Source organism: Homo sapiens, chromosome 7 (assembly GCF_000001405.40).
Source record: "Homo sapiens chromosome 7, GRCh38.p14 Primary Assembly".
Taxonomy (NCBI): domain Eukaryota; kingdom Metazoa; phylum Chordata; class Mammalia; order Primates; family Hominidae; genus Homo; species Homo sapiens.
The window spans coordinates 131345639-131372134 of NC_000007.14; the positions used below are offsets into that span (position 1 = coordinate 131345639).

Here is a 26496-nt window from a genome sequence, read left to right on the forward strand (position 1 = left end):
AGGAATTCGAGGCTGCAGTGAGCTATGTTCATGCCACTGCACTCCAGCCTGGGCAATGGAACGAGACTGTGTCTCAAAAAAAAAATTTAAAAATAAGTACAGAGTTGATGTTGAATCCCATTTTATTCTAGCAGTGATATTTATTCATATATACATGAGACAATTGTTTTGAAAGTACACGTGTCTTTGAGAATCGTATCTAATACCTTTACTGTATATTTAATCATCATCTGTCAAAGTTTTTAATATATTGTTTTGGTCAATAATATACTTATGAAATTGATAATAACATCCAGAAGAAATTTTAAAAATCACTCGGAATCTCATGATCAAAAACCAAAAAAGTTTAATCTTAATTCACGTGGCATTTTCTCAGAGAAGTCATAGGAGTGAAAAATGAAAGACCTTCCAGCCTATAAGTAAAATTACATTTACATTTTGTAAAATTCTTTGGGGGAAGTTTAAGGAGAAACCAAGATAATATAAACTTTTGACTGTATAAGAAGAGGCTGTTCACTTAAAAAATAGATGATGGTATTTTTCTTCTATTGATACTTTTAAAAGAACACATATAACAACTTTATTAAAAATTAACAATATTAGGGCGGGTGTGGTGGCTCATGCCTGTAATCCCAGCACTTTGGGAGGCCAAGGCAGGTGGATCACTTGAGGCTAGGAGTTCGAGACCAGCCTGGCCAACATGGTGAAACCTGTCTCTGCTAAAAATATAAAAGTTAGCTGGGCGTGATGGTGCACACCTGTAATCCCAGCTAGTCGGGAGGCTGAGGCAGGAGAATTCCTTGAACCCGGGAGGCGGAGGTTGCAGTGAGCTGAGATTGCACCACTGCACTCCAGCCTAGTGACAGAGCGAGACTCAGTCTCAAAAAAAAAAAAAACCCAAAAAACAATATTTAAAGTACACTGGAAATCACAACCTTTGCAACAATTATAAGGTATGAAACATTTTACAACTTAAAAATGTTGAGGATGTGCATAGATTTTCAAAATTAATTTAGAGGGTACTTGAGCAGAAAAGCTTGTGCACCATTAACTGACAGCAGTTTGCACTTTCGAATTACTTGTGAATCTTTTAAAAATGCTGATGCTCCTAGGTTATAAAATAATCTATTATTTTGGGCCTAGGCCCAAAGTACTAGACTATGATGAAGATCCCACAAAAGTGATTGTTTTTCTATAATTACATATACACATATATTTATTCTGTAGTTACATGCATAGATAGAAAAAAGACTTGGAATCTAAAACAAAAGCAAAAAGATAAGGAAAATATTAATGAAAAATTGAAATGGAGGCTAGCCTTGATCCAGAAGGTCCACCTTCTCACCTTCAGGACACATGGCTTAATGAGCAGATGATGCTCTTTGACTGGGATACAGGACTTGATGGGTGGGACACAGGCTGAATTTCAGCTTTCACTCTTCAGTGGGATCTTCTAGTGCATGGTGCAACCTGCATAATTATATATAGCAGCCCTGCACCTTCTACATAATAATAGGCCTAGAAAGAGATTAGAAACAAAATAGAAACGAAAGGAAAAAATAGAGGAAAATTTATCTGAGCTAAAGAAAGGCTCAGTTGAAGTCATTAGTTTGAACAGCCTTGCTGATTGTCAAGAGAGTAAGTGCAAAAGTATCCATAATTAGTCTGCATTCAGATGCAGGAACCTGGTGCTAGAGAAGCTGCTCAGGCACAGGAACTGGGCATTGAAGCTGTATATGCTGCTGGAGCCTGATGCTGGAGAAACCTGTATGGCAGGAATGAAGAGCTAGAGAAGCTGTGTATGCTGCAAGAGCATGCACGGCAAGCATACCTGAACCAAGAAGCCAAACAAAAACAAAAAAAACCCAAAGACAAAAAACCCTTACTTGCTGCGATGACTCCTGCCCCCTCTTACTGACACAGCTTAACATTGCACCAGCTGGTAAAGGAAAAATAAAGGGCCCAAATCCATTTTCAAAGAGGAGACAAAAAGAGTGAATTTAGAGGTGAGAGTCAATAAATCCATAATTGGCTCGTTTACTTTTACCTTTTGATGTGATTTTAAAATCTGTTTTCTCAGCATTTCATTTATACTTAAACTGGTTAAATCTAGTATCTGAAGTTTTCTTTTGGTTAATCTGATGCCTATTATTGTTTCAAGTGGATTAATATTACTAGTAAGCTTTTGTGTTTCTATTTTCCATTCATACAGTGCAATAACATTTTTTAAATTGCAAAAATGGATACCGAATTATAAAGACAGTAGTGCTTTTGAAACAAATGTTGGCTGGCATGTGAGGTAATCATAGTATAGTAACAAACTAATGGTTTGTGACCTGATGAACATTCTGTATTTAACAAAGGAAAGGCTGAGAGCTCTAAGATACATAAGTGTGAGTTGTCTGACAGTTGAGTGAGGAGAGTTATTACCTGTAATAAACTTGATTTCAGTTATATCACTAAACTGCTCATGTTCCATATATTATTTTAAACAGAAAAGCACTCCAAAGTTGTATTCTGTGCTACAGCTATCTATATTGTGATTTGCCATATGACATATCTCTTATTAATATATGAAGAGAGCATTAAAACAGCCTTGCCTATTTATCAGATATGTTCTAGGTGTTAATTTATTTGTGAATTTTATGCGAACAGATATATATATGGAAATGAGTTTTTGAAAGTCCAGCATACAACTACAGCCATTAATCAAGGACACATGTAGAAAATAATTCATATATATGCAGAGATGTTGGGAGAAGTTTTATTCCAAAGCTAACACAAAACAAGGTACACAAGTTTTTATAGAGGATATTATCCATTGCGGTAATATTTGATGTATAATACTTCTGAATTTTTTAATAGTTTTAAGAGTTAACTATAGTCGTTGGGTTTTTTTTTTTTAAAGACAGGGTCCCACAAATGTAATTTAAAAATATTTGTAGATCCTCTGGAGTATCTCTGAGGAAGAGAGTTTGAAAAATGCTTTACCATGGGACTTAGGGCATTGGTCAAAGATACCTATTATGGGTATGAGAGGAGAGTTCTTATTAAGTAAGCAGATTTGGATTAGTTAATATTGGTTTGACCTGTCATCCTTAGTACAGTTTAAATTATTGTATTATACTGTGGCAAAAGCTGGATCTGATGCAAAGGAAAACATGAAAGAATTGAGACAGTATGGTATAGAGAGAACACTGACCTAGGACTGGGACTTGAGTTCTAATCCCAGTTCTACCACCGATTAATTGGTAGTTTTAGATCGGTCATTTAATTTCTCTAGCCTTTTATTTTTTTCTCATACAAAATGAGGGATTTAGATTCTGAAGGTATTTTTTTGATGCAAAATAGCAAACAGTTGATATTACAGAGTAATTTTTTAAAGACATGCACCCTCCCCCACATCCACATGTTATAGTTCATATTAAGCTACATTGTTGCCCAACAAAGATATTTTAAGAACTTGATATAATTAGATGATAATGATTATTTTAGTAAAATTAATTACATATAAATGAAGCCTTTGAGAGTGCTTAGAAGCAGTTTGATCTCTTAAATCTATCTTTTTTTTTTTTGAGACAGAGTCTTGCTCTGTTGCCCAGGCTGGAGTACAGTGGCACGATCTCGGCTCACTGCAACCTCTACCTCCCAGGTTCAAGCAGTCCTCTTGCCTCAGCCTCCTGAGTAGCTGGGACTACAGGTGCGTGCCACCACGCCCAGCTAATTTTTTGTATTTTTAGTAGAGACGGGGTTTCACCATGTTGACCAGGATGGTCTCTATCTGTTGACCTTGTGATCCACCTGCCTCAGCCTCCCAAAGTGCTGGGATTTAGGCATGAGCCGCCGCACCCGGCCTTAAATCTTTCTAATCCCTCTGTGAATATATTGTTATATTGTCTGAGGTTTGAAGAATGTGTGTACTAAGCAGTAAATCATTGCCAGATCATGTCCAAATTTAATGATCTTTGCATTAGGTAGAAAAGGGATAGTTCTTTGTTTTGAAATATATTCTGAAGGGTCATTTAATTTCTGAAAAGATTGATAATTCAAGCCTTCTGAGATATTCAGCAATTGAGGACTATTTTTATATGAGTGTCTCAGCAGATAGATTTTTTTGTTTTGGGGAGACACCAAATCATGTTAGCGAGCTTTTTAGTTTCATTTTTGTCTAGTGAGAATTTCCTATTTTATCAAACTTCTGTATAGGAATGTTTGTTTTATTTTGTTGCCATTCTTTTTTCCTAGTGGTCGCTCCATTCATTCTTGTGGAGTATGTTGTAGGTATGTGTTCCCAAAGTGTTTTGAATCCTTAGAGATAATTACTACATGCTTATTTTCAGTTGCTTGGTAGTGATAAGTTGACTTGAGTTTTGCTTTGAGTGATGGTAACTAACGATACTACAATGGTCTGCTATTTGCTAGGCCATTGACATTCTGTAATTTTCAACCTGTATTTGTACCCACCTCTCTTTCTTCTGGTATATTTTAAAGTAAATATAAGTTATGTTATTTTATTTCTAAATACTTCAGTATACATGAAGAAGAGGACATTTTATTAGTTATTTTTTATTTCATTTTATTTAAAATCTTTTTTTTTTTTTTGGTAGAGTTGGGGTCTCGCTATGTTGCCCAAGCTAGTCTCAAACTCCTGGGCTCAAGCACTCCTTCACCTCAGCCTCCCAGAGTTCTGGAATTACAGGCATGAGCCGCTGCACCTGGCCTTCGTTATCTATTAATCCATAACAAATTGCTACAAACTTAGCAGCTTAAAACAATACACAATTTATTTTCTCAATGAGGGTCCAGTGTTTAGACATAGATTTGAGAGGTCTTCTGCTCCAGGTCTCTAAGGCTACAGTCAAGATGTTGGCTGGGGCTGTGGTTTCACCTAAAGGCTTGAGTGGGGAAAGATCTGCCTCTAAGCTTATTTGATTGTTGGCAGGATTCAGTTTCTTGCAAGTTGTTGCCCAGAGGTTGTCCTCAGTTTATTGCCACGTGGGCATCTCTAATGTGGTGTTTTGCTTCATCAATGCCAACAAGGGAAAGTCTGCTAGTGAAGTGGAAGTCACAGTTTTATGTAGCCTAGGCCCTGAAATGATGTCCCATCACCTTTGCCATATTCTCTTCATTAAAAACAAGTCACTAGGCCAACCTACACTCAATGAGATGAAATTACAATGAGATGGAATTACTCAATGGTGTGAATTCTCAGTGGTGGGGATCATTTGAGGCCATCTTTGAACTGCCCTGCCAGAGACATTTTCTTTTATGGCCACAATGTCATTATTTTACTTAACAGATTTAGCAGTAATTCTTTAATTACAATTAATACCTAGTCCATATTTAATTTTCAGTTTTCTAAAAAATGTCTTTTTATAGTGTGTTCGAATCAGGATCCAAACGCTTATTGCATTTGTTGTTATGTCCCTTTTACAATTCTTTTTATCAAGAGTTCTTCCATTAGCCAGGTGTGGTGGTGTGCACCTGTAGTCCCAACTACTTTGGAGGCTGAGGCAAGAGGATTGCTTGAGTCCAGGAGGTCGAGGCTGCAGTGAGCTATGATTGTGCCACCGCACTCCAGCCTGGGCAACAGAGCAAGACCCTGTCTCTTTTAAAAAAACAAAAAGAAGAAGAAGAGTCTTCCCATCCTCTTGCTGTTTTCTTTTTATCCATTGATTTGTTGAAGAAATCAGGTCATTTGTCCTGAAGAAGCTCCCCTATTCTAGATATGTTCAGTTGTTTCTATGGTGGCATTTGACTAATTCCTCTATTTGTCATGCTTTATATATACTGGGAGTTAAACAGAAAGCCTTATTTAGATTTTGGATCAGATTTTTTTTGAGACAGGGTCTTGCTCTGTTGCCCAGGCTGGAGTGCAGTGGCACAATCATGGCTCACTGTAGCCTTGAACCTCCTGGGCTCAAGTGGTCCTCCCACCTCAGCCTCCCAAGTAACTGGAACTACAGGTGTGTGCCACCATGCCTGGCTCATTTTTAAATTTTTTTTTTAGAGTCAAGGTCTCATTGTGTTGCCTAGGCTGGTCTTAAACTCCTGGCCTCAAGCAATCCTCCCACATTGGCCTCCATCAGTTTTTTAGAAAGACCACTCCCTAGGTGGTGCCATATACTTTGTATTTTATCACTTCAGGAGGCACAAAATGTGGTGGTGACAACTTTTTTGTAAAGCCATCCACTTTTCATTAATAGTGTTAATATCCAAAGATAACTCATTGTTAGAATAAACTATTTCAGTAGAAGTATCAAAATTGGATTTCTCTCATCTTACCATTCCTTTCACATTTACTAGCTGTAATTTTCCTGGATAAAATTTTCCCTTGTCTATTTGAGCTTTTTGGTTACTCTGAAATACAGTTCTACTGGAAAAGCAAGACAAATGCTTAATTCTTTCCTTTTAATCACTAGTTTTCAGCATAGTGAGTTGTTATATACCTCCAGGTGTCTAATTAATTTTTTCTTTTTTAAAAACGAAAAGCATTTATGAACATTAGTCTCTTTATTCATTGTGTTTTAAATGACTTCAGTAGTCATTATTTGTGATGCCAGATGGTTCCATCTTAGGCCAGTGGGAGTCCCTTCAGGCTCTCTCCTGTGTTCCTTTGACATGACCCCATTCTTTATTTTCTTGCTTTTTGGCATAGGAAAATGACTTTATATAACATGCTTTAGTCGAAGAATGATGTTCAGAGTGCATAATTGGAAAATGGAGATACTTAATGTTACCAGATTGTCATTTCTTTTAGATCCTTCTAGGTGATAGAGCTAGGAAATAAATTTTTTTAAGAGAAAAAATATCTTGAATTTATACTGCTATTTCCAGTTCAAATTTGATTTGTGAGGTTGTAACTTCTTTCATTTTACACTTTTTTTTTTAAGTTGAAAATGTTTCCCAGTATTAACATTAATATAATTGCTTTGGGCCCTATCTATGTGTGTGTGGTGCACATAAATATGTTTAAAACATAAATTTAAAGTAATATCAGTGTTATTACTGGGTGAAGTTTAACATTTCTTTGTAGATTCTTTTTGCCGTTAGACTGTTTTCTACTGAAGATAGTAAAAATGCTGTGTCCTAAGGTCAGTTGGAATAATTCTTTTTATTATTTTCTGTGGGTTATGTCACCAACTTGATACACAGGTTCATTTGTTTTAGTTTATTTTCAGCTTTTAGTGATTCCTGTTTTTGTTTCTGCATGTAAAACATTTGCATGGTTTCAGATTTTAAACTATGCAGCTTCCACCTCTGTCCCTTCAACACTTTTTATTCCCTTTACAATGGGCTAGTTCTTCCGCTGCAAATACAAACATCTACATGTGTATCCATTCATTTAGATGTGCCACAATTTGTTGAACCATTCAGCAGTTGATGAACATCTAGATTGTTTCCATTTTGGGGTTATTAGAAATGAAGCTACTATAAACATTGGAGTACAGGTTTTTGTTTGAACATAGGTTTTTGTTTCCCTAGGAAAAATGCCGAAGAGTCCAATTGCTGGATTGTAGTGGTTAGTTTTGTAAGAAACCTTCATACCCTTTTCTAAAATGGGTTACCATTTTACATTCCCATCAACAATGTATGAGGGATCCAGTTTCTCTGAATCCTTGTGAGCATTTGGTGTCATCACTGTTTTATCTTTTAGCTATTATGATAGGCATATAGTGATATCTGATTTTTTTTTATTCCTCTAATGGCTAGTAATGTTGCACATCTCGTGTTTATTTGCTATCTGTATAACTGCTTACTGGAATGTATTCATGTCTTACCTATTTTCTGATTGGATTGTTTGCCTTTTACCTGATGGATGTCAAGAGTACTTTGTATGTTTTAGGTGTATGTTTTAGGTGTGTGTTTAGGTGTATGTTTTAGGTCTTTTGTTGCGTATGTAGTTCGGAAATACGTTCTCCCAGTCTTTAGCTTACCTTTTCAACCACTTAAAAGTCTTTCTCAAAATAAAAGTTTTTAATTTTGCTGAAGTCCAGTTTTTCAATTTTTCCTTTTATACATTTTGCTTTTTGTATAAGATCTCCTTGCCTAGTCCTAGACCGTGAAGATTTTGTCTTATGTTTATATTTTTTTAAAGTTTCATAGTTTTATATTTTACATTTTCATTCATGATTCATTAATTTTTTTAATGAAGTATGAGTTTTAGGTCAATTTTTTTTTTTTGGCTTATAGTTGTCCAGTTGCTCTAGCACTGTTTGTTGAAAAGGCTATTCTTCCTTTGTTGAATTGCTTTTGTACCTTTGTAAAAAAAAAAAAAAAAAAAAACCAGTTGGGCATATATGTGTGGGTCTTTTGGGGGCCTTTTATTCTGTCCTAATGATATGTGTCTGTCCATCTGCTAGTATTATACTTTATTGATTATGCAGTTTTATAATGGAGCAAGCTTTAATATTGTATAGAGTGATCGCTCTCATTTTATTCTCATTTAAATAATTATTTTGGCTATTCTAGGTCTTGTGTTTTATGTGTAAATTTCAGAGTAAACTTGTCTATGTCTAAAAGAAATCTTGCTGGGATTTTGATAGGAATTACATTAAATTTGTAGGTCATTTTGGGAGAATTGCCATCATTGCTATGTCGAGTCTTCCAGTCCACGAGCACAATATGTCTTCCATTTATTTAGGTCTTCTTCAATTTCTTTTATCAGCATTTTGTAGTTTTCAGGATACAGAGCATCCTGTACATGTTTTGTTAAAAATATTCTTCCTTCATTTCCTTTAAAGCAACTGTAAATTGTTTTGTGCTTTTAATCTTGGGTTTCACATGTTTAGTGTTAGTATATAGAAATGCATTTGATTGTTGATCTTATATCCTGCAACGTTGCTGAACTCATTAGTCCTAGGATTTTTTTTTGTGGGGGGGGGCGTAAATCTTGTGGGATTTTTCACGTAGGCAAATTATGTCATCTGAAAATAGGGATGGTTTCATTTCTTCCCTTCTGAAGGTTGCATCATTGTTTAGTTGAATGTGTCAAGTTTTATTTTTTTCTGGATTTTTGAATTAGGGAGTGTCTTCTCAGTGACAGGATGTAAAGGATTTAACTGTGTTTTCTTCTGTTACTTGTATGTTTTTATATTTAGTTTTCTGATTCATTTGGAATTTAACCTGGTGGATGATGTGAGGCACAAATCTAATTTTATTTCTAAATGGCTGTACATCATTTATATCTATCGAAACATTTAAATACATCATTTATTATAAAGCTCATATTTCCCCCAACCCCAATGATTTATGATGCTATCTTGATCATTTATTAAATTTTATGTGCTTTGTTCTATTTATTTTTATTTTTAAATTTTTTGGTAGAGACAGGGTCTCACTATCTTGACCAGGCTTGTCTTGAACTCCTGGCCTTAAGTAATCCTACTGCGTGGCCTCCCAAAGTGCTGGGATTACAAGTGCGAACCACTGCAGTCAGCCCACTCTTTTATTTCACTGTTTTGTATTCTGTTCCTGATTGTGTATTCATGTATAAATATCTTGCTGCTTTAATTACAGAGACTTCATAATATGCTTTAACATCTGACAGGGTCTAGTCTTCTCTCCTTGCTCTTCTACTCTTTTTCAGGGTTTCTTTGGCTGTTTTTATCCTTTTAATTTTTAATGTGAAATTTATTATTTGTGTGAACTGTATCAGCCTTATTTGTTGTATGGTCATAGGGAAACCTGTTTTTATTTTTGGGTCTAATTAAATTTATAAGTTAACATAGAATTGTATTTTTATGATGAGTCTTTTTATGCAGGAACATGGCATGTCTTTGCATTTTTTCCAGGTTTACTTATACATACATATATATATGTATATATCAGGACTGTTTAAAACAATTTTCTCATAGGTTTTGCACATTTTTCTAAGCTTATGGCTAATACTGTATTTTATTGTTGTAATTAGAGGTCTTCTCTTGCATTATATCTTCTAACTGCTTTTCGCTTTTATGTTTGAAGGCTCTGATTTCTTTAACTTGATACTATATATATATATATATATATGCTTTAAGTTCTGGGGTTTTTTGTTTTTTTTTTTTAAACAGGTCTCTTTGGTCCAGGCTGGAGTATAGTGGTGTGATCATAGCTCACTGGAACCTCAAACTCCTGGGCTCAAGTGATCCTCCTGTCTCAGCCTCCCAAAGTGCTGGAATTATAGGTGTGAGCCACCACACCCAGCCTTGATATTTTTTTCTAACTAAATTCTTCTATTCTAAATAGTATTTTTCCCATTGATTCTTTTGGCATCTTCTAGTTGTATAATTTTTTCATCTACAAACACTCTAATTTGTATGCTTTGTAATTACTTTTTCTATCTCTTAAATTTTAGACTTTATCCTTTAGAACAGTTTTAGATTTACTAAAATATCGAGCATGTAATACAGAGAGTTTGTATATACCTCCCAATAGTTCCCCTATTTTTTTTTTTTTTTTTTTTGAGGAAGGGAAGAAAAGGAAAGGAGCAAAGTACAACTTGGAAGAGGGCCAAGCAAGCGACTTGAGAAACCGGCAGCTTGACCTCTTGACTTGGGATTTTATACGCTGGCATACTTTGGGATCTTGCATTACTTCTCCTCACTCCTGAGATCTTATTGAGAAGCTGCTGATGAGTTTCAGGTGTTTTATATCTATTAGCCTGCCTTTCCCTAGCTCCGGCTGCAACCAGTTATTACTTTAGAGAAACAGTTAACTGCCTGACCATCACCTGATGGTCGCCTAACACTCCTGGTGTGCATGTGGGGTGGAGCCCCCTACTGCCCTGCTCATACCTGACTAGCTACCCACTGTAACATTTCCCCCCCCAAGAGTCCAAGACCCCAAATCTTTGGGGTTAAATGGACGAAGGTCAGTCTTCTGTAACTGCTTCCTGCTGACAGAGGGGCAGTGGTGGTTCTATGGGTCTTGGCCTCTTGCTAGCTGTCATTGCTGAGTTGGCTCCATGAGTTGTTGAAAGCGATATCCGGCCAGGCCCAAGGGAGACAGGGGCAGGATTTCGCCTCTGTCGTGTCCCACTGATGGGCAGTCTAGAGGTCCCCTGTAGAAGGGTGATTCTTGAATATTGAAAGGACAGTATTCTTCATCGAGGATTACCTGGAGCTTAATGGCCACTAGGGAATGTATCCAAATCGTGTGCGCCAAATATGTTGCCGGTGGCAGATACCCAAGTTACCCCGATTCCGTATGGGTCTGCCACAACTTCAGTTCTTGCCTCCTCAGGAGAATTCGAATGAGGGGCATAAGGCAGAAGGAGGGAGAGACTGAGGCAGGTTTCAGAGCAGGAGTGCAAGTTTGTTAAAAAGCTTTAGAACAGTAAGGAAAGGAAGGAAAGGAAAGAAGGAAAGTACACCTTGGAAGAGGACCAAGTGAGTGACTTGAGAAACCAAGTGCCAGTTACCCTATTCTTACTGTATTACATTCATATGCTCTGTTTCTTAGAATTAATGAACCAATATTTATAGTTCATTACTAACTATAATCCATAGTTTATTTAAATTTCCTAAGTTTTTCTCGAATGTCCTTTTTCTGTTCCAAGTTCCTATTGAGGATACCACATCAAGTTTGTCATGTCTCAGGCTCATCTTGACTGTGACAGTTTTCTCGAACTTCCTTTGTTTTGGACTGACAGTTTCGAGGAGTACTGGACAGGTGTATTGTAGGATGCCCCTCTACTGGAGTTTGGGTTGATTGGGAAGGAATATATTGTAAGCATGCCCTTGATCACCTCCCTGAGGTGGTGTTTGTCAGGTTTCTCCACTGTAATATTTTCCCTTTTGCATACTGTACTTTGGAAAGAAGCCATTATACACAGCCAATACTGAGGGAGTACTCTCAGTTCTTAGAGTGGAGTATTACATAATTTCTTAGGAATTCTTCTTTATGGGAGATTTGTCTCTTCCGCCATACTAATTTATCCAATAATTTATTTGTATCATGTGGACTCAGATACTTATTTTATACTTTATTATAATCCAGTACTACTTTATTTATTTTGTTGCTCAAAATGTTCCGGCTTTGGCTGTTGGAAGCTCTTTCAGTTGACTCATGTGCGCCTTTGACATAACTTCCATCATTTTTGTTTTGTTTTGTTTTTCATTTTAGTGCTTTCTTAATTTCTGGTATTACAGGATGCTCCAGGCTCATCTTGTTTATTTTCTGCCCCATTTCTCCATAGAACTGTTGTTCCTTTTATTGGAGAAAGGCATAAAAAAACAAAATCTGGGTGCTAGATGTCCTGCTTCGGGGGTTTTGTTTCTTTTAGTCCCTCTCATTAACCTTATATCCTGAAACCTTGCTGTAATCATTCATTATTTCCAGGAGTTCATCAGTTCTTTGGGATTTTCTGTATAGGCAGTCCTGTCATCTGTGAATGATGACAGTATTATTTCCTTCTCAATGTGTAGACTGTTTTTTTCCCCCGCTTATCTTATTGGATTTAGCTAGCATTTCCAGGATAGTATTGAATAGAATTGCCTTATTCCCAGTCTTGGGGTAAAACATCTAGTTTCTCACCATTAAATATGATGTTAGTTGTAGGTGTTTTGTAGGTACTCTTTATCAAATTGAAGAGGGCTGCCTGAATTCCTAGTTAGCTAAGATTTTTAATCATGAATATGTGTTGGATTCTGTGAAATGCTTTCTCTGCATCTGTTGATATGATCATATGACTTTCTTCTTTAGCCTATTGATGTGTAATACATTAATTGATTTTGGGATATTGAAATAGCCCTGTAATAAGTACGTTTTATTGTGGTGTGTAATTATTTGTATACATTTTTAAATTTGATTTGCTAATATTTTTTGAGATTATTTTTGCATCCATATTCATAAGAGATTGGCTGGAGGTTTTCTTTTAGTGATGTCTTTATCTGGTTTTTGTATTAGGTTAATGCTGGTCTCGTAGAAAGCATTAGGAAGTGTTTCCTCTGCTATTCTTTTCTGAAAGACATTCTAGAGCATTGGTATCATTGTTTTCTTTAAATGTTTGGTAGAATTCACCAGTGAAACCATCTGGGCCTGGAGATTTTCTTTTTGGAAGATTATTAATTACTAATTCAGTTTCATTAATAGTTACTGGCATATTCAGAAGGTCGCTTTCTCGACTTTTGGTAGTTTGTATCTTTTAAGGAATTGGTCCATTTCATTTATGTTATCAGTTTTATGGGAATAGAGTTGTTCATTTTATTATCTGTTTAATATCCAAGTGATCAATAGTGATCACTCATTTTCATTTCTAATATTGGTAATTTGTGTCTTCTCTGTTTTTTTCTTTGTTAGCCTAGCTAGAGTTTTGTCAGTTTTATTGGTCTTTTCAGGTAGCCAGCTTTTGGTTTCTTGCTTTATTCTACGCATTTCCTGTTTTCAGTTTCATTGATTTTTGCCCTAAGATTTATTTATTTATTTATTTTTTCTGCTTTGTTTATGCTTCAGTTGCTTTTCTCTAGTTTCCTAGGGTGGAAGCTTAAGTGATTGACTTTAAGTTGTTTTGACTTAATAAAATGCTTTCAATGCCGTAAATTTCCTTCTAAGCATTCCTTTCACTGTATCCCACAAGTTTTGATGTTTTGTTCTTAGTTTCACTTTGTTCAGAATATTTTTAAATTTATCTGGAGACTGCTTTGACCCATGTATCATTTGGAAGTATGTTTACACCAAATATTTTGGGATTTTCCAGCTATCTGTGAATGACTTCTAGTTTAATTCCATTGTGGTCTGAGAGCATACTTTGTGTAATCTTCAACTCTTTTACATTACTAACATATATTTTATCATCTTCCTTGGTGAATATCCTTGTGTGAGCTTGAGAAGAATACGTATTCTGCTGTTATTGGGTGAAATACTCTGCAAAGTCAGTTAGATCTAGTTGATTGATGATGCTCTTCAGTTCAAGGGTATTCTGAGCTTCTGCCTGCTGAGTCTGTCTATTACTGACAGGGATATTGATGTGTCCAATTATAATAATGCTTCTTGAACTTCTGTCAGTTTCTCTCTCAAGTATTTTGACACGCTTTTGTTTGGTACAGACACCTTAAGGATTGTTATGTCTTCTTGGAGAATTGACAGTTTTTATTATTATTTAATGCCTCTTTTATTTTTTTTTTTATTTTTTGAGACAGGGTTTCACTCTGTCACCCAGACTGGAGTGCAGTGTTGTGATCTCAGTTCACTGCAACCTCTACCTCCCAGGCTCAAGCAATTCTCCTGCCTCAGCCTCCTGAGTAGCTGGGATTACAGGCCTGCACCACCACGCCTAGCTAATTTTTGTATTTTTAGTAGAGGTAAAATTAAAACATGTACTTTTTTACCATGTTGGCGAGGCTGGTCTTGAACTCCTGACTTCAAATGATCCACCCGCCTCGGCCTCCCAAAGTGCTGGGATTACAGGCATGAGCCACTGCTTCTGGCCAATGGCTCTCTTTTTTGCTGATGATTTTCCTTGATCTTATGTTTGCTTTGTCTGATATTAATTAATATAGCTATTCCAGTTTTCTATTTAAAGAATGGTATGTCTTTTTCCATTTCTTTATATTCACCTATTTGTATCTTTATGGGGGTTTCTGGTAGACAACATATTTGGACTTTGTTTTTTTTATCTACTCTAACAGCCTGTCTTCTAATTAGTTTCTTTAGACCATTCACATACAAATTGATTGTTGATATAATTGGATTGATATCTACCATATTTGTAACTGTTTTCTATTTACTGTACTTGTTCTTTGTTTCTTCTCTTCCCCTTTTTCCATCTTCTCTGATTTAAAATGGACATTGATTGTGATTTTGTTTTCTCATCTCTTAGCATATCAGTTACACTTCTTTTTAACTTGTTTTTAGTGGTTGTCCTAGAATTTGTAATATTTATGTGCATCTAAACTAAGTCCAGCTTTAAATAACAGTGTACTATTTCATGTGCCATGTACCTAATATCAGAGTATTTCCTACTCTTCTCTTGTATCCCTTATAATGTTGTTCTTACTCATTTATCTACATGCCATAATCACTCAATATATTGTTAACATTGTTACTTTGAACAGTTATTTGTTAGATCAGTTTAAGAGTAAAAAATACATGTTTTAATTTTATCTTCATTTAATCCTTCTCTGACCCTCTTTCTTTATGTACATCAATGTTGTAACCTATATAGCTGTTCTTGCTGAAGAACTGCTTTTAACATTTCTGCAAGGCATGTCTACTGGTAACAAATTCCTTTAGTTTTTGTTTTAGGAAGTATTTATTTCTCCTTCACTTTTAAAGGATAATTTCACTGGATATAGATGTCTAGGTTAGTGTTTTTGTTTTTATTTTTTTCCCTGGCACTTCAAGTATTTCGTTCCCACTCTTTTCTTGCTTGCATAGTTTCTGATGAGAAATCCAATGTAATTCTTCTCCTTGTTTCTCTATAAATGAGGAGTTTTTTTTCCCTTGTCTTTGGTTTTCTGCAGTTTGAATATGATACTCCAACTTATAAATTTTTTTGATATTTCCTGCTTGGTTTTCTCTGAGCTTCCTGCTGGGTTTTCTCTGGTCAGTGGTTTGGTGCCTATCATTAATTTTGGAAAATTCCAGCCATTATTACTTCAAATATTTCTTCTGCTCCTTTCTTTCCCTTCTCATATTGCAGTTATGCATCTGTTATAGCTTTTTTATTTTAAAAAATAGTTTTTGGATATTGTTTCTTTTTTTTCTTTATTTTCTTTTTTCAGTTTGGGAACTTTCAGCTGTCATATCTTTAAGCTCACTGATTCTTTCCATGGTACATTACCCATCTATCTTGCATGTTGTCTACATTTTCCATTAGTGGCCTTAAAATGTTAATTGTAGTTATTTTACATTCACTATCTGCTCGTATCAAAATCTAGATCATATCTGAGTCTGGCTTGCTTTGTCTTTTCACACTGTTTTTTCTTGCCTTATTTAGCATGCATTCCAGTTTTTTGTTTCTTTTTTCTGGCTTTCTTTTTTTTTTTTTGGTTCCCTTCAATCCAGTTCCTTTAACACTTAAATCTCTCTGAGGAAGTTAACTAAGAACTTTTTCTAACTTTCTTTCCTCACTCTCCCAACATCTGATCTTAAGTGATGATCTTTTCCTTTCATTTTATACTTGTGAGGCAGTCAGTAAGTATATTCCAAATTCCACTTATTCTCCATTCTTCTCTCATTTTTTTTTGGTTAGCTCTATCTTTTCTACATTGTTGCACCACACATTTATATTCTGTTATGTATGACATTCTTATCTTCATGGTTAGTTTTAGTTCGGTGGTTAAATATTTTTATTTCATGTAACCAGATTTTATGCTGAAGCTTCTCAAATCATTTCTTCAGTATGTATAGTTTATTCATTAGTAGTTTTCTCAGAAAGAATGGCTCAAGGAACGCTTTGTTAACTATGCCTTTAAACTTGAAAGATAGTTTGATTATATATACAGTCCTAGGCTCACATTTTTTGTACTTGATTTTCTTAAAATTTTTTATTTTATTTTGAGTATAAAATACCTGTTTATTGTATTTGGGTATGAAATACAGTCACGTGTTGCTTAACGACTGGGATGTGTTCTGAGAAGTGTCTCTTTAGGTGGTTTCGTCATTAGTGAACTATGGAGTGTACTTACACAAACTTAAATAGTATAGCGTACTCCATTATATAGCTCTATTATAATCTCATGGGGCCAGCATCTTACATGTGGTCTGTTATTGACAGAAACATAATGCGGTTCATGACTGTTGTAGCTGTTGTAAGGTTTTTTTGACAATAAACTTTTCTTAATTTTATGAGTGACTTGATATTTCTATCTGGAAGCTCAAGGAAGTTTTTAAAAAAAGTCTTCAAAGTCTGCATAGTTTGTACTAGGAATATTGAGTTGAATTTCCCTAGCATACCGTGTATTCTTTGAGTGTGTAGATTCAACTTTTATTTTAGAAAGATTTGCTTGAAGCACAGTTTGATGTATCTGTCTAGTTCCAATTATATATTTTTTTGTCGAGTCCAATTATGTTACGTTATAGACAGTTGCTGTCTTTTGTATCTGTTTCATTATTTTCATCACTTTCCAACCTCTTTTCCCTTACTGGGCTATTTTAGCGGTATCTTTTTTGGGAGGAACTTTTAAAATTTAGTCTGTGTTTTTGAAAGATACTCTAGACAGATATTTCAAACTGTGTATTTTTTGGGGGAGGATTTTTAAAAATTTAGTCCTTGTTTCTGAAAAAAAAACTCTTCTCACTTATATGTAAGTCTTATCAGCTCTTCCTGTCATTCTGGCCATACTATTTTTGAGCTGTTTTAATTTTGAATTATTGCTTCTTAATAAAAGTAATGATAATAAAAATATAAACTATTTTCTTAATTTCATTTAGGTCATTTTGAAATAATTAACAATTTTCATCTTCGTGGCCACATTTTTCTCAAGTATTTTTATCTATTACAACATCTTAGAGTGGATTTTTATTTTATTTTCTATTGTTTAAACAAGTTGGTTTTCCTGTAGTTTTAGAAGGAAGAACTTCTGTAGGAGGAGGGGATAGACCAGTGCAGTTTTTGAGCTGTGTGGCTCCAGGCCGCATTTGTGAATTTTTTTTTTAATTGCACTTTTGAGATGTAGTAAAGCTTTTCACCTTTATGTTTTCCAGGTATTTTGCTTTCTGAATAGACCCCTTTAAATGTATTTTACTGTTGTGGAACTTTCTGAGATCTGTGTCACTTGGACCTCCTGCCCACCTAGAATGTGAATCTTATCTCTCCTGGAGGGTTCTCATTCTTTTTGCTTTGCTTAGGTCTATTTCTGTTTCTTGCAATTTCTCCAGAATGGGTCTCTGTTTTCATGAAAGTAAGAGAGTATTTGTTGGTAGGATACTTCTACAGTCCTCTTAGAGTGTAGAATCTGCCTCTCTCAGTTTTCCAGTTATCTCTGCATTTACCTATATCTTGGAGCCTGAGAAGGATGTGTTATCTAACTTTACTTAGTTCTCAGATTTTCTTTCCCATCACCAGCATTTGAACTTGTTTGTTCCTTTGTGAAGAATAGACTTTTTCTTTATTTTTACATGAGTGGTTCCTTCTGATTAGCATAATTAAAATATTTTCAGAGAGGTGATTTTTTTCTTTTTTTGTACCATCCCTGGGAAAAAAAAAAAACTGTCCTGCCGTGTCACCACCCCGTTTATTTCTTTTGTAGCACTTATCACAGTCTGTAATTACCATGTTTACAATTCTACTTGTTTATTTTCTGCTGCTTGTCATTTGAATGTTAGCCTCACAACTGGAGATCCTATCTCATATACCATGGTGTTCCCAGAGCCTATCACATTGTCTAGCACAAGACTAGGACTCAGTAAATATTTGTTTGATAAGTAACTCCAACAAATAGTAAAATCCCCTTCTTACTATGCTGTTGTCTTAAAATTGGGAAATACTTGTGAGTCTAAACCTCTGCAGTATATGTAAGTCTAAGTGATTTGGGAGAAAGCTATCATTTTTATAGTATACTCTTTATAGCTGGAGATATTAAAAATTGATTTAAGAGTTGATCCTTACTGCATTTTGAATTATAGTCTTTTAAGAAAAAAACGTTTGTTTATTTATTTACATGTACTTATCCTTTCAAAATACAATGTTCTTAGATTTTAAATCAGAAAGCCTTGAAAAATTATCAGCATTCCCCCTTCCCACACATTTGTAGCTATAATCAAAAACTTTCTAGACTTCCTGTGTGTGTAGATAAAGATATTTCTCGAATATTGGGAGAGAATGCCCCAAGTTTTTACCAAACTGATTAATCTTGGGTATTTAAATGTGTTCCGTATCAGAATTTCCTAATGTATAAGGACTTTGGTTTTTTTTTTTTTAAACATTTATTTTAGGTTCAGGGCATACGTGAAGGTTTTTACATAGTTGTGTTATGGGGGCTTGTTGTACAGATTGTTTCATCACCCAGGTATTAAGCCTAGTACCCAGTAGTGATCTTTTCTCTTTTCTGCTCTTCTCATTCCTCCCACCCTCCACCCTCAAGTAGTCCCAAGTGTCTGTTGTTTGCTTCTTTGTGTTCATAAGTTCTCATGATTTAGCTCCCACTTATAAATGAGAACATACGGTAGTTGTGCTGAGGATAATAGTCTCCAGATGCATCCATGTTCCCACAAAAGAAATGATCTCGTTTTTTTTATGGTTGCATAGTATTCCATGGTGCATATGTACCACATTTTCTTTATCTAATCTGTCACTGGTGGACATTTAGGTTGACTCCATGTCTTTACTGTTGTTCATAGTGCTGCAGTGAACATTTGTGTGCATGTGTCTTTACGGTACTTTACGGTAAAATGATTTCTATTCCTCTGGGTACCTCCCCAATAATGGGATTGCTGGGTTGAATGGCAGTTCTACTTTTAGCTATTTGAGGAATTGCCATACTGCTTTCCACAATGGTTGAACTAATTTACACTCCCACTAACAGTGTGTTCCCTTTTCTCTGTAACCTTAACCCCATCTGTCATTTTTGACTTTAGTAATAGCCATTCTGACTGGTGTGAGATGGTATCTCATTGTGGTTTTGATTTGCATTTCTCTAATGATCGGTGATACTGAGATTTTTCTCATATGCTTGTTGGTTGTCATGTATGTTTTCTTTCAAAAGTGTCTGTTCATATCCTTTGCCTACTTTTTAACTGGGTTTTCTCTTGTAAATTTAAGTTCCTTATAGATGCTGTATATTAGACCTTTGTCAGATACATAGTTTGCAAATATTTTCTCCCATTCTGTAGGTTGTCTGTTTACTCTGTTGATAGTTTCTTTTGCTGTGCAGAAGCTCTTAAGTTTAATTAGATCCCACTTGTCAATTTTTGTTTTTGTTGCAATTGTTTTTTATTTGTCTTGAAATCTTTGCCTGTTCTTACGTCCAGGGTGGTATTGCCTAGGTTATCTTCCAGCGTTTTTATAGCTTTGGGTTTTACATTTAAGTCTTTAATCTATCTCGAGTTGATTTTTGTATATGATGTGAGGAAGGGAGTCCAGCCTCGATCTTTTGCATATGGCTAGCCAGTTACCCCAACATCATTTATGGGAAGGGGAGTCTTTTCCCCATTGCTTGTTTTCATCAGCTTTGTTGAAGATCAGATGATCGTAGGTATGTGGCCTTTATTGTATACTTTTTTTGTCTGTCTCTTAAATTTTATGTGTGTTTTTTTTTATGTTTAAAAAATACTTTGTGATCCCCTTGGCCACAGATAACCATTCTTGTTCTGATACGGTATTACCCCAGCAGAGTGTTCACATGTAGTGGAAGCTCTATTATAATGGTTTGATTGATTGTTATTACTGACTTTTGTGTAGGAGCAAGAGTATACATGATACTTCGAATGAAGGGTGTGAAAGCTCTTCATAGAAATGCAGAATGTTAACTTGGCCTTCGTGAGTAGTGTTTCCTAGAATTGTGCAATTCAACTCCCCTGATTACAGCTGAAAGAAATTTGAGACTAAAGAATTAAACCTTTCCCTTTATACTGCAGATAAAATAATTCAAGTCCTGAGAGATTATGTAATGGATTATCTAACCAATTAGTGACCAAGCTCCAAAATCTCAAGATTTCTAGTTGAAGTTGATTTTTTTTCAGATCCATTTTATCATATGATTCAACAAAAAGGCAGGCTTTAGAAGGATGTTTTTAAACTACCAAAGGAAAAACATCCTTTTATACTTTTTAAAATACTCTGCTTGACTGACTTTTCTTCATATAAAAATTAGAGGTGGCTTTAAAGTATCTAAAACTTCCAATTTAAAGTTGGCGGGGCTTACTGATAAGCATCCTGACCAGCCCTTATCAGAAAAAATGTTAAATGCTCAATTTTTTGCCCAATTGCTGCTGTTATATTTAAGTATTCTTAAGAGTAGTAATTTAGGGCTGGGTGTGGTGGCTCATGCCTGTAATCCCAGCACTTTGGGAGGCTGAGGCGGCAAGATCACTTGAGGTCAGGAGTTCGAGACTAGCCTGGCCAACATGGTGAAATCCCCGTCTCTACTAAAAATACAAAAACTAGCCGGGCATGGTGGCAGGCACCTGTAATCCCAGCTACTCTGGAGGCTGAGGCAGGAGAATTGCATGAACCTGGGAGGTGGATGTTGCAGTGAGCTAAGATTGCACCACTGCACTCCAGCCTGGGCGACAGAGTGAAACTCCATCTCAAAACAAAACAAGAGTAGTAATTTGAAAGGTATATTGCTAAGCAAGCTTAGGGTTTAAGCATATGTAATCAAGAAAGGTTTTTAATTTGCTGACTTGAATTAAAACCTAAAATGTCAAATAAATTATCTTCTCATGGTGAATTGTAATCGTTTGTTACTGACATTTAATTGGTAGTATATACAGATATAGTAGATTTTAAAATATGCAAAAATAAAGACATATAACTTGGGAAAAATTAAAACTGTATCCCATTTTTCAGTTACCCATTTGTGTTTCATTATAAATTTTTAAAGTTCTCATAGAAGAATTTAATTACTCATAGTCTTGCTTTTGTTTTGTAGTCTTTGTATGAGAAACTTAAAATGTTATTCATTTTTATTGCTTTCAGTTTTCATCCAGCATTGGTAAGAATGAAAATGTACATTTTAATATTAAACTAACCTGATGGAAATAGGTAGCCATTTTAGTCTTCAGCCCAACTCTATTTTCAATTCTTCTTAACCAGTTCTCAGTTATTATTTGCATTTTAAATATTTTTAAATGGCAGATATTTAATTTAACTCTAGTTGGCAAATCTTTATTATTTGACTCATATAGTTGATACCGAATTGTGTCTTATAAAATGTATTTTCTATTTTTCTAGATGTTAGTATAAATGAAAGTCATGGGTATCTAGAAGAGTGTTGTGGTCACAATCGCTTTGGTTGCCAGATCAGTGACTCCTGGCAAGTGGAACTAAAAAGCCAGTTTCTATTCTTTCTTATTCCCTCTAGTGCATGGTCTCTCAAGATACCCCTCCTTCTGTTCTACATCTGCTTCATTTTTATTATGCTACTGACTGCCTTATTTCTCTTTTATTATTCTTACCTGGTATCTCTGTTCTCTGTTTCATTAGTTCTGTTTACTTATATATTCTTTGTCTTAGAATTTTATTTCTATACTGGCCCATCCCATCTCCTGTCACAGGAGATAGCCAGCCAAGATTAGCAGTCATTGAAATACTCATAAGTAAAAATCACATGTACAAAGCATATTGCCTATGATTGCTCCTTCAGTAGAGGCTGTGGATGGGGTATTCCGCTTTTAAAAACAAGGGATGTTGAATTGATATCATGATTGACATATGTAGTATAAGAGGTTAACATCTCTCACTTAGTCCTGAAAATTAAAGGAGGATAGGCTATATATACCACTAGTGATGGTAGATTGTATAAGTCTTTGGAAAGTAATACAAGGGAGGATAATAATGAATATGTTTTATAGAATACTACTATGGCAATAGGCTCTATTACCACTGCTGAGGGGCTGATGTTAGCAGTCACTACCCTAAACTGGATTCTCCTTTGCCTTGCAGGAGAGTGGAAATGGGTGGAGGGGAGCAACATCATAGGAGGAAGAATTAAAAACAGTCTAGATCTTACTTTATGTTTTGAAATAAGATCCATTATTTAAAAATTTTAAAAGACAATGAGCTTTTATTAGTTTCTTTGCTGTCTTTTTCTATGTCTTTAAAATGATGGAAAAGTAGAGCCTGATTTGATTTTCTGATGGTGTGTTAGTACGTTCTCACACTGTTATAAAGAACTACCTGAGGCTGGGTGATTTATGAAGAAAAGAAGTTTAACTGACTCACAGGTCTGTAGGCTTGATAGGAAGCATGACTGGGAGGCCTCAGGAAACTTACAGTCATGGCAGAAGGCAAAGGGGAAGCAAACACCTTCTTCTCATGGCAGCAGGAGAGAAAGAGAATGAGTGGGGAAGTGCCACACACTTTTAAAACATCAGATCTTGTGAGAAGTCACTCACTTTGACAAGAACAGCATGGGGGAAATTCGCCCCCCCATGATCCAATCACCTCCTAACAAGTACCTCCTCCAACATTTGGAATTAAAATTCAACATGAGATTTGGGCGGGGACACAGAGTCAAACCATATCAGATTGCAAGTCAGTTTGCTATAAATGCAGAAAGTTTGCTGTCATGTCAACTATTATTTTCAACAATAACTTTTTACTGTTTTGATAAATAATATATGCTTATATATTATTTTATGTATGAATAATATGACAAATAACAAGAAAATAAGTAAAATCTCTTAATGGTATTTATGCCTCATTTTTGGCTACCATTTGTACTTACTTTATATAATTTGATGTAAATTGGATCATATACCTGCTTATCTGTATAATCACACACACACACACACACACACATATCTGTATATAACAGGTTTTTAAAATAAGAATAGAATCATACATGCTTCTTTGTATCTTGCATAGTAGAAATCCCTTTAAGTGTTTTATAATGATAGTATAAAGTTCCATGATGTATGTTCTATAATTTATTTGATCATTTCCTTGCTACTTCAAAAAATGCGGCATCAAACATCTCTATCATATGTCCTTACGTACTGGAGATTTTATTTCTGTGGGATGGATTTTGAAATGAGAGTTCTAGGTGAAAGAATATGTACATTTTAGATTTTAATAAATTTTACATGTTTACTTTCCATAAAGGCTAGGATAATGCACATGTTCATCTTTTCTCCCTAATTTTCTGATAATTAGGAATTAATTTCATCAATTTGATGGGTAAAAAGGGATATCTTACTATTTTAATTTCTTTTTCCATGACACAGACAATACACAGGGATTTTGAGAAATTTTTTTTGGTCATAGTTTATTGGCTATTTGAATGACTCTTCAGTGACTTGCATTCTGCTCATTTTCAGTTCTGTTGTTCATCTTATTCTTATCAAGTGTAACAGCATTTTGCATACTCTAGATATGAATTCTTTATTAGTCATATGAGTTGCAGAGAATTTTGTCCAAACTATTGTTTGTCTCCTGTTTTTCTTCATGGCACTTTTTATAACACAAAATTTGAAAGTTTTAATATAATCAAATAGTTACTTTTTGTTTTACAGATTATGTGTTTCTTGGCAAAAAGATACATATTGGCCCCTACATTTTTCCCCTAGGGTTTTTATGTATATGTGTATGTTTAGATCTTTAATTGAGATTACTTTTTGTTGTTGTTGTTGAGACAGAGTTTTGGTCTTGCTGCCCAAGCTGGAGTGCGATTGTGTGATCTCGGCTCACTGCAACCTCTGCCTCCCGGGTTCAAGCAATTCTCCTGCCTCAGCCTCCCAGGTAGCTGGGATTACGGGCACGTGCCACCATGCCTGGCTAATTTTTTGTATTTTTAGTATTAACGGGGTTTCACCATGTTAGCCAGGCTGGTCTCAAACTCCTGACCTCAGGTGATCCGCCGGCTTCGGCCTTCCAAAGTGTTGGGATTACAGGCGTGAGCCACGGTGCCCAGCCATGAGATTACTTTTGTATGATATTAGACAGGAGTTAACTTTCTTCTGATGGATATTCAGTTGTGCATCATTTAATAAATGAATTATCATTTCCTGCTGAATTAAAATATCACCTTTATCTGATACTAAATTTCCATCTACACTGGACTCAGTTTCTGGGTTTGTGTTTCTCTGAGCTATTGTTTTTTTCCTATTCCAGTCCTTTCTGTTTATAATTATGGCGGATTTAAAGTGTTTTTTTTTTTTTTAAGGAATCTTTTTTAAAGTCTTTAATTCTTACTTTTAAAAAGTGTTTTAAAAGTGATAAGATGATTTCCTGTCACTATTCTTTTTTTTTTTTTTAGTAAGTTTTCTTAACCCTTTTTGTATGTTTATTTTTTCCATACAAACTTTTTACATTGTATACTCCTTGGGTAAAATTTCGCATACCTCAAATAGTTGGCAGTCAGCAATGCTTGTCTTATGGGTTTTGGTATACCACTTCCTGTGTTAGGTTTCTGTGGGTCACCAGGAGACACCCCTCAGCAATTAGATGGCTTCAACTGACAGGGCAAGTTCTTCTCACCTTTAGGGCAGGTTACTTCTCTTGAAGGTCTTAGTGGGGTAGGGAGATAGCAGATTGTCACAGCAATACTTATGCAGTTGATGCCTGACTCTTAGGGAGAGAAGTATTCAAGGAATTTATGGTTCTTCTGCTAGGGCCAAGCTTTTGTAAGATTCTTAAAGATCTGAGCCTGGCCTCTGTAACCTGGTGGGCTCAGGAGAGTTACTTAGTTGGCTTAGTGCTGGGACTGGAGATCAGCAGGAGTATCTTCAAGCTTCTATCTTTCCAAACCCCCTAGGCTAACCTCACTCCGTTTCTGGTCTGTATTTTATTTCTTTTTAATTTTCCTTTCAATTTAGTATGAGCTTTAAGTTACAGGTAATCAGTGGGATTAATGTACTGTATCCTTTGGTGGGTCTACTTTAATTTTTTTCTTTTTTGTGTTATTTATTTGTTCATATCATTATCAGATATTTATTAAGTACCTTGTATATGGCAACATTTAGGCCTATGAAGATGTATCACCCAGTCCTTGTCTTCTGAGCAGCATTTTGCAAAATTTTTCTTTTCTTTCTTCTTAAAATACTGTCTTCACTTAGTATTTACACTTTCTAGGTTTTCATTTTCTTTATCTTTGGCATTCTTCGGTTTCTTTTGCTTGATTCTTTTCTTCTGGACCTCCTAAATGATGGACTCCCAGAGCATAATCAGTCCTTAAGCTTTTCTTCTGCTCTATTTCATTCCCTAAGTCATCTCACTTAATGTTGCGGATTTAAATAGCATTGATACATTGACATCTCTGAAGAGTATATTTTATTCAGCACTGGTATTTTCCTTGAATTTCAGCCCCAGATAGCCAATTGCCATATCTAATAGGCATGTGAAAATTCACAAGACCAAAACATATTGCAACTGTTTGGCCCCCTTGATTTTGCATTTAGTGGTCCATCTGCTCATTTTTCAGGTTATGACACGGCTCTCTTCCTCATGTTATTGAGGCCTGTTTCTCCTATACTTTTCTTCATAGTAACATTATTCTTTACCACTACTTACCAATACTTTACATTATACTTGACATATATAACATATATATATATATATACACTTAATTTTCCAGATGCTGAGAGCTGTTAATCTCCTATTTTTAGAATCAATTTCTTCTCATATTTACTGTGGTTTTTGCTTTATTTGATTCATTACAGCTGACAAATTATGTTACCATCGAATTTCTTTTTTAGAGACAGGGTCTCTCCCTGTTGCCTTCTTGATTTTCTGTCTCAAATAATTTAGAAGATATGTGGTACGTTTTTATTTCTATCTTTGTTTAATTTTAAACTTTAAATAGTATTAATTTTTTTTCTTTTTATCAACTTCAGAAACATTATTCTTTCCTAGGAACTGTGAAAGATGAAGGAACTACCTCACTTCCATGACATCTAACATTCCCCTCCCCA

At 35.2% G+C, this 26496-nt stretch overlaps 1 protein-coding gene across 6 annotated transcripts in view; it reads left to right on the forward strand.

Annotated features, from left to right (window-relative positions):
• Window positions 1-26496, forward strand: part of MKLN1 (muskelin 1) — a 386539-nt gene that overhangs the window by 235545 nt on the left and 124498 nt on the right. The gene's annotated exons all lie outside the window — the stretch shown is intronic.